Genomic DNA, 9,649 nt, shown 5'->3' on the forward strand with positions numbered 1-9,649 from the left:
GGTCTTGCCATATTGCCCAGGGTGGTCTTGAACTCCTGGGCTCAAGCCATCTGCCCGCCTTGGCCTCCCAAAGTGCTGGAATTACAGGCTTGAGCCACCATGCCTGGCTACTTTTTGACTTCAGCATTTCTAACACTGGAAGGCTGTTTCATATACTCTGTTTTGTATGAATTCTGCACTATATGGCTTTGAAAAATATTGTTATGGTTCTTTTCTATTATAAAAGTAGTATATGATTATTACAAAAATCTAAATGTCATAGAAATATCCCAGACATGAAAAAAAGCCACAATTTGATCTTTTCTTTCAGAAGATTTTTCATTCAAAATGAGATTAGACTATACTTGCTATAACTTGCACTTTCACTTACCTACTTACTTTATATATATATATATAATGTCAGTACATACAGATCTTTCTTATTTTTAATGGCTGTGTACTATTTCATTATGTATAAGTAACCATATACATACACAACTTCTAGTTATGTATATTAGAATGATTTCCAAATCAATGCTTAAACAAATATCCTATGTAATTGTGCAAAATTTTTGAATATAGTAATAGAAATGATAATACTTTGCCAAAGGGCCTACATATTTAAAATTTTAATTGATATTATCAAATTGGCCTTTAAATTGGCAGAGATCTCTACCAACAGTGTATTAAAAGGCCTGTTTTATAGTATCATCATTAGTTCCAGGTTTTGAAAAACTCCAGAACTTTGCCGTTAGCAATCTTCCCAAACGGTAGGATGTGTGTTGCCATAGATGATAGAACGATAGCACAAATGTTCAATAACACCTTCTAATGGTTTCTGTCTTAGGAAATCAGCAGGAAGATGTTGGAAATATCCCTGTTGATACTCAATATTCTGTCCTCATTATTGAAAGAAAATACAATGAGTCCACCATTTTGAAGCATAAGCCTGAAGTTGTTTTTCCACCTGAATGACGATTTTGAGCTTCATCAGGTCATATAATTTCTTCTGTTGAAGTCAAATGTGTTCATTTGTGATATGGCTTTTAAAGGTAGCTGAAACTCAACGTGTCCACAATGAATCTATGTTTTTTTCTCAAATATGTTAATCCTCCAAATCTCCTTCATCTTGGGGAATGGCACCCTCATCATGCCCACCATCAGCTGTCTCAGCCTAAAACCAGGCAGTTATTTTTAATTCCTCCTTTTCCCTCTTTGCCACTTTTTAGTCTATATATATCTGATTAAATCTACCTCCAAACATGTCTCAAGTCTAAATTCTTTCCATTTGTACTATCCCTTTGCTTAAAAATCTCCAATGGCTTGCTCTTGTCTTTAGAACCAAATTCATACTTTGTAAAATGGCCTCCAAGCCTGTCTATTATTTTTTCCCACATAATTTCTCCACTAGTTCCCTCTAGTTGGAACATGCTGGCCTTCTTTGTATTTTGCAAATATGTCAAGATTTTTCCATCCTCCAGGGCTTTGGCTTGCCGTTCTGTCTACCAGCTTCATTGTTTCCCTTGCTTTCTTCATGACTGGCTTTCTCTCATCATTCAGGACACAGATCAAATGTCACATCTTCAGAGAGGCTTTCTCTGACCACCCCATCTACAATGGGTCCTCCCCATGTAGCACTTACCACTAGCTTAAGAATATTTTGTGCATTTATGTTTAAATTGCTTGTCGCTTTCTCTTTCCTAATCCTAGAAATTATGATCTGTGAGAACAGGACCTTTTCTTGTTCACCTGTGTATCTTCTGTGCCCATAATAGCATTTGACACTCAGAAAGCACTCAATACATATTTAATGAATAATTTTGTTAGGCCCAGGCTTGTGGTCATGGCACTCACGGAAGACCTAACTTTCCCACTTTTCTGTAAACACACTTGACACAATGAGAAACTGGAATCTGAGTGTGCTAACTTTGCTCAGCTAGCCCAGGCTTAAATGCCTTTGTTAAACTTGTATAGCAGGAAGGCAAATTAGGTCTAGAATCTAGAGCTCATATCCGTTTATAACAGTCAAATAACAGCATTGTGAAGGTGAAACTATTTGGGGGATTTGACTGAAAAACATGAAAGTTTTTTTGTTTTTAATCATTTTAAGCATAATTGGGTACTTTTTCAGAATTCTTTTGGTTGTTTTCATTGAAGTATACGGTATTAAGCAATAGAGAAGTATATGCAGTATACCGTATATGCAATACGGAGTTATTGCATACGGTAAAATCACAAAGTCTACAGGTCAGTAAATTTGTATAGACAAATAATGCCCTATGTAGCCATTGTAGATCAAGAGATAGAACATTCCCATCATCCTTTCCTCATTCCTCTTCTATGTCAATACCCACCTCCCAGAGGTAGTTGCTATTCTGATTTCTGTCACTGCAGATTACATTGTCCTGTTCTTGAGCTTCCTATAAGTAGAATCATAAGTACCTACTGTTTGAGTCTGTCTTCTTTCACTTAACCCAATGTCTGTGAGATTCATCCATGTGTTAACTGCTATGAGGTCCATCCTCCTCTTTATTTGCTAATGGTAGCCTGGGATTACTTTGGGTTCATTCCAAAGCACAATGTTAACTTTTGTACTTTAAGGTTCTTAAAAACCTGGAGTGCCAATTTGGTGGCAGTCTCATTTAAGGGCTTTGAATGCCATTCTTGTGGAATGTATCAGGAGAGTTGAGCTAGGTAATTATCTTAATCCAACTGAAATAGTTGGTCACAGTATACATTAGATGAACATCTTGAATCAAACTTGAATATGCAGTCAACCTGAACAAAATGAGCTCAGTCACAGAGGGCCAGATTTCTTAATTAGTTCTCAATGGCAAGAACATTTTATGTTTCCAAAAGTCAAGTACAAATTCTACAAGTGACACAATTCAAGAAGACTTCATAAGAGCGAAGTAAACAGGGCCTCCCACTGTCATTGGCAGCATCTGAAGCCATATTCATTTATTTCTCACTGTTAGTGCTCTTAGAAGCACCAACATGCTATAATAAAAAAGTAATGGTGAACTTTATTGAGGTATTATTAAATCAAGTAACACAGTGCAGCCCCTTCTGCTTGACCTTTGGCAGGCGGTTCTCGCCTTTTTTCTTTCTTCCTTTTCTCATTCTCCCTCATCCCATTTCTGTCAAAAGAAGCATATTGTGTATACAAATCCATCTTACTACATCTTATTCACTTAATCCTTTTACACACATGTATTATTTAAAAGTGGAAAGAATTTTAAAAGGCAAGAAATAAAATATAAATAATTTTTTTGTTTTTGTTTGGTTTTGCTTTATTTGATGTAGGATAAATTATTTGTACTTTAGAGACTGTATTTATAAATGTTAGGAACAGAATGTGGTGGTACAATGTGTTGACACTTTAAAAAAAATTACTATTCATGCTAATAATGAATGCAAGCCTCCCTTCCAAGGCTCAAATCCACATCTCTTGAAACTTCACTGGGGAAATAATAATCTACCAGTAGTCAATGCTGTAAGTTACCAAATTTTTCCGTCTTCATTTATACCAGTGTCAGCCTCTCTTTCTAGGTTTACCTTCTCCCAGTCTTATATAGGTAAATTGGGAAATTGCTATTATCTGTGTTAGCAGGATACCATTATAGCAACAGCATCTCCTATGCTTGATAAAAGAAAATACACACATAATCAAAGGAAATTTAATGAGTATTACATATCTTTAATTTCATAGTTCTCTGAAGGTTTAGAATATTTTAGTACTTAGTTTTCAGCTTATTGAAATTTAGTTTTCAGTTTTTAGTCTTACAGTTTAATTGAATTGTGCGAATGGTTTACATTTCTCTTATGGATCTGAAAAGATCCACTCCTCTCATATTCACATGCTAAATGACCCAAATAGCTGGATTTCCTCTTGCCTAAGTATTGAAAACTAATCATTCTGGTAGAGAGTTTGAAACTCCATGTAAATAACATTTTTAATGAGAAACAAAAAATTGTACTTATATTTTTTATTAGCATTTATTTGGCAATATCCAGGAAATCCTTTGGCATTTATTAGAAAATAATTAACATTATCTTGAGACATTTTTTTCATTGCAAAACATCTTACTTTGAGAAACCAAATAGCTCTTGACAGTGCTAATACCTCTTCATCCAGGTAGAAATGTGAATGAAAGAACTGAGCTCTGCCCAACTTAATGGGTAACAGAAGAAAAATAATTATAGGTATCCATTAAAAATCACACTTAGTATCTAGAAAAGAAAGTAGCATGTCAAAATAAAGCTGCATGTTTCCCTTCTGATCTAATTTCAGCTTTTTCTCCTTGCCATCTGGTTGGTAAATGTGACTATGTTTGATATCATTTCACCTCTAAGCCTTCAATTCATGCCCAATTTCCTACTCCCAGTTACTCCAGCCCTTCCCAGCAAATCATGCCTTTCACCCATGAGGAACAGATAATCAAACCAGAAGAAAATTGGTGGGCTGCTACTGGTTAAACTTGAACAATACAAACATCGAAAAGAATAAGAATTGTAATTGGTTTATACGACTTAATATATAAAAATCTATAATCCTATAGTGATGCATTTTTAGTGAACAATTTAAAAAATCTCCTTCTTGCTACTATTGGAGGTGACTTTAAAACCATTTTCTTACTCTGAAATATGGTAATTTAAGGGAAAGATTCAAGCACATATCTTGCTTTTGCAGTAGAAACCATCTTTGAGGGTAGCCACAGAACCCCCGAGAGAATGTGCTAATACATTTAGAAGGAATGATGTAAAATATGTCAACAACAAGAAAAGCAGACTGTTAATAATTTTAAAACCTAGAATATATTAGTTTATGGTTATATGGGTGTTCATTATACAATTATCTCATCTTTTCCATATGTTTGAAATTTTTCGTAATTAAAAAAATTGCCACCATGCCAACAAGCAGAAAATAAAATTATAAAGATGGTTACTTGAGTTAAAAAGACAAACTTTTATAACACATGCTTTCCGTATTTCAAAACCTCAATTAAAATTACCAGCCTTATTATGAAAAGTTTCTGCAGGAGATAGGGGAAGCATGAAGGTTTAGGCAAAATCATCTCTTCCCCTAATCCAGTAAATCAAATAACCATGTTTCAATAGGGAAGGATGAGTATATCTTTATAGAATAATAAACTCCCCAGAGCTCAAAATAATAAAAGATTTCTCTTACTGGTATTTTAAAGGTTTATACCCATCTAATAAGAATATAAGACCAAACTCAGTGCCTGCATTTTGTACCCTCTGCTTTGTCTGTATCTGTAGCAGGAATGATGGACCCAGAAGTCTAGTGCCTTGCGCAGTGTTTGGCTAAAGGTAGCTAGACATCCAGCATTGTTTACCAACATCCCAGTTTTCAACCCTAGTAGCCTTTCCTCTAAGAAAGCAGAAAAGAAGCCTCCTCCTCTCCAAGAGTATCAGAGGAAATGAAGAAAATGTGGGATATATGTTTAAATATATACATATTTAAAGACTATTGCAAGTGGAAAAGATTATAACATTAAAAAACCACTCCTGGCCGGGCGCGGTGGCTCACGCCTGTAATCCCAACACTTTGGGAGGCCGAGGCGGGCGGATCACGAGGTCAGGAGATCGAGACCATCCTGGCTAAAACGGTGAAACCCCGTCTCTACTAAAAATACAAAAAATTAGCCGGGCGTAGTGGCGGGCGCCTGTAGTCCCAGCTACTTGGGAGGCTGAGGCAGGAGAATGGCGTGAACCCGGGAGGCGGAGCTTGCAGTGAGCCGAGATCCCGCCACTGCACTCCAGCCTGGGCGACAGAACGAGACTCCGTCTCAAAAAAAAAAAAAAAAAAAAAGAAAACCACTCCTCCTTAATTCTTATATAGTCAACATTGTTTAGTGAGTCCAAGATTTACATAGAATACTATATTAGATGCTCTAATGGAAATTTAGTTACAAAGGAAGTTTTAATCAACTTTGTGATTGATTTGAAAGATTTTTTTATCATATTTCAGAGCTATTGCAGTGGCATTTTCTGAATTTTCTAACCCCTTTATATCCTCATTAATGAAACAGTTAAATTTACCCTGTATTATTTAACAAATAATTTAGGTGTTCTCCACCAGTATATAGTGTTTTCTTTGTCATATATTACATACTTACCAGTGACTGTGCCTTACTACTTTCTTCCGTGGATCAGTCTCATCATAATGTTTTAATTATTTGAGCTCTGTAACATTTTAATGCCTAATAAAACAAGTAATCCCTTTCTCTTTGTTTATTCATCCAGATGAGATTTAAAATCATTTTGATGATTTCTCTAAGATTATGTTGAGTTTCTAAAACTTGGTTTGTGTTAAATCTGTTCATTGATTTGGAGACTGACAGATATAAAAGATGTAAAACTTTTTTACATGTAAGTTTACATATGTTTCTGTAAGTATATCCCCATATTGTCTACATGTATCTATCTAAATGTGTGTATAGATATTGGTATACATTTATTTGAAAATACATAGATGTATGTTATATATTTATATGCTTATGTGACATTTGTCAAGGCTAAAATTCTAACTAAATATCATTATCAGAAAAAATAAAATGGGGAAAAACATCACAAAATATCCTTCCATTTTACATTATATACATTTAACTGTTTAATTAGGAGCTTGTACCTTAATCAATTGGTGATTTATTAATAAACAAAATTTGCTCTGGGATTTCAAGGACATATTTTAATCTCACTAATCTTGCAGTTTCAGTAGCCTAGAGGTTTAAGGGCTTTGAACTGAAACAAATCTCAGTCTGAAGTCTTGCCTCAGACACTTCAATAGCTACATGACTTTAAAGCAATTAGTAAACTTAGAGTTAAGTAACTTCTCTAAGCCCAATTGCTTCACCATAAAATGGAGATGATAATACCGCCTACCTCTTAGGGTTGTTGTTAGGATTAAATGAGATGATGTGTAAAAATAATAATTCCAGTGCCTGGTTCATAGTAAGTGCCCTCAAAATGTCAGCTATTATTTCAATCTAGCATAAGCTAACACCAAGATTTCAATGTAATTCATAGGCCTTCTCCCAAACAAAGTTTAGTAACATACAAACAGTGGAAAACAGTCTGAATTTGTTTAACTTGTTTCCCACTTTGAATATTCACTAAAAATAACAGTGAAGTTCTTTGATTCTCTTTGTGCATCATTTATGGTCTTTGCCTAATTCTTCCTGCATCTCTTTGGCTTTTTTTCCTTGGACTCAGTATCTTGTACTTTTCCAGTCTTGTATTTATCTTTCACCTATTCCAATTTTGCCTAACCAGAGAGCAATGTATAAAGTGCCATAAAACTGGCTGAAACATGGGCACGGTAATCCTAGGTTAGCTGTGGCCATTCTAAGTTCAATATCTTTACTCTATCTTTTGTTTTTATTTTGTGAAGTCCTTAAGCATGAATTCCCAAGAAACCATGTCTTTAGGGTCTGCTGAATTTTGTAACCTCATTTCAATGCATATGTGACAGCTATAGACTAAATAGGCTAATGACTATAGGAAAAAATTATTTATTTATTTATTTATTTGAAACAGGGTCTCACTATGTCGCCCAGGCTGGAGTGCAGTGGCATGATCATGGCTCACTGCAGCCTTGACCCCTCGGACTTAAGCAATCCTCTTGCCTCAGCCTCCTGAGTGCTGGGACTCTAGGCACGAGCCACCATGTCAGGCTAACTTTTGTATTTTTCGTAGAAACAGGGTTTCACCATGTTGCCCGGGCAAATTGATGAAAGCCACCACCATGCCCAGCCAGGAAAAACTAATTTATTAATTAAAATAATTAAGAGGCTACTGTGGACCAGGCATGTGGTTTACGAAATAAGGTATTTATAAAACAAGTTTCAATTTGTACATCTATTTAGGAAACAATGCACATGCTTTGGAAATCCCATGTCTTCATTACAATTATTATGAAAGAAGCATTGACTGAGATTGAGTTCCTGTATATTAATGAAATACCTATTTAATTCATTACTTAAATGAGAAATTAAAACAAATACATTATTACTTTCTGATTGACATTAGAAAACTTTAGTTTAAACATGATTTTAGCTCGTGTTATCAATAGCAAGAGGATTTTCATTAGCGTATGCATTAAAATGAAATGATATGGGGAGATTTACCCCAGGTACAGAGTTGTTTGTTTTTTCTACCACTGTAGACAGTAGACTGTTTTCTAAAAAAAAAAATATAACGTGACATAATTCAGGATCATGGAATCAATAAAGTTTTAACCCAACTCTTTCTTCAAACTAATGTTTTTAAAAATGTATTCCTGATTGAAAATAAAACTAAGAATTAGCTTAATTTCTTAATTTACATTCCCAAGTTTTCAATTGCTTAAATTGAATTGATCAAAACTATACTTTTTTTTTTTTTAACAAACTGGCAGAAACGTTTAAATGCCATAAAACTCAGAGTTCTTGACTACTCTTTTATCGAGCAATGGTCCTTAAGTGATGACATCGATTGTCAAAGACATCTTCCAAAAATATAGCAATTTTTGAAAGAGAAACGAGATTGTCTTTTTAAGTAATATAACCCCTGTGCAATTTTCCTTTTTTTTTTTTTTTGACCCTTTTTATTTCCTGAGGGTTTTAAGTAAAGACCTCCAATTTAAAACCGATTATTCCGCAGGAGCTGCTTTTCCCCCTCCCCCAACTGTAACCTTGCTGTAATCTCTGCCCTGTTATTTTCTGACTTTTTCACTTTGCTTAGCACTGAGCTATAGTTAGGATATAACCAAGACAGGTGTGTGAAATATGATGTGATACAATAGTTAGAGCAGATAAGTAATTTAAAACATATTAAATATCAACCTTTTCTTTCTTTTACACTGTCAAAATCCAAAAAATTCTTTCTTACTCTGTTTTTGGTGGTGGTGGTGGTTTTCTTTTTAACTGTATGGATTTCTGTGAAGCTACATTTTTAAATAATAAAATAATCTCAGAAATTATCATTATTAATGAATCTTTATTTCTTATCTACAAGGTTCATAGCCTTCTATGAAGAGTGTGGAAGAATCACAACAATGAAGAGAAGATATGTTTCTTGGGGAGCATGTTCAATCTAATTCAAGTAGATACATGGAGTCGTGAAGATAAATTCTGATCACACCGCATTCTGGTCATCATTACCTAGTTGAAGAGGTTTATTGGAGAAGAACTATCAGTGTTTTAAAGCAGTGGTCTTCAAACGGGGGCACACAAAGACTTTCCAAGGGGGGTACATAAATATAAATAGTTTTAAGGTAATCCATTTTCAGTTTTTTTTTTCTGTTTGTTTTTCGAGACAGAGTCTCCCTCTGTCGCCCAGGCTATAGTGCTGTGGTGTGATCTCGGCTCACTGCAGCCTCTGCCTCCTGGGCTCAAGCGATTCTTGGGCCTCAGCCACCCAAGTAGCTGGGACCATAGGTGTATGCCACCTCGTCGGGCTAATTTTTGTATTTTTTGTAGAGACAGGGTTTCAACATGTTGGCCAGGCTGGTCTTGAACTCCTGACCTCAAGTGATATGCCTGCCTCGGCGTCCCAAAGTGCTGAGATTACAGGCATGAGCCACCACCACGTCCGCCCATTTTCGGTTCTTAATATTCAATATGTTCTCCCTAAACTTCCTGAGAAGTTACCAATTGCCTGGTTT

The 9,649-nt window shown here is 35.2% G+C and overlaps 1 long non-coding RNA gene across 1 annotated transcript; it reads left to right on the forward strand.

Moving 5' to 3' along the window:
- The first annotated feature begins 634 nt into the window (after nucleotides 1-634).
- Nucleotides 635-9,263, forward strand: LOC105373707 (uncharacterized). Its single transcript, XR_923505.3, has 2 exons — nucleotides 635-6,375; nucleotides 9,001-9,263. It is a non-coding gene; the product is annotated as an uncharacterized LOC105373707 (long non-coding RNA).
- The last annotated feature ends 386 nt before the right edge of the window (nucleotides 9,264-9,649 follow it).

This window comes from Homo sapiens, chromosome 2 (genome assembly GCF_000001405.40).
Source record: "Homo sapiens chromosome 2, GRCh38.p14 Primary Assembly".
Lineage (NCBI taxonomy): Eukaryota > Metazoa > Chordata > Mammalia > Primates > Hominidae > Homo > Homo sapiens.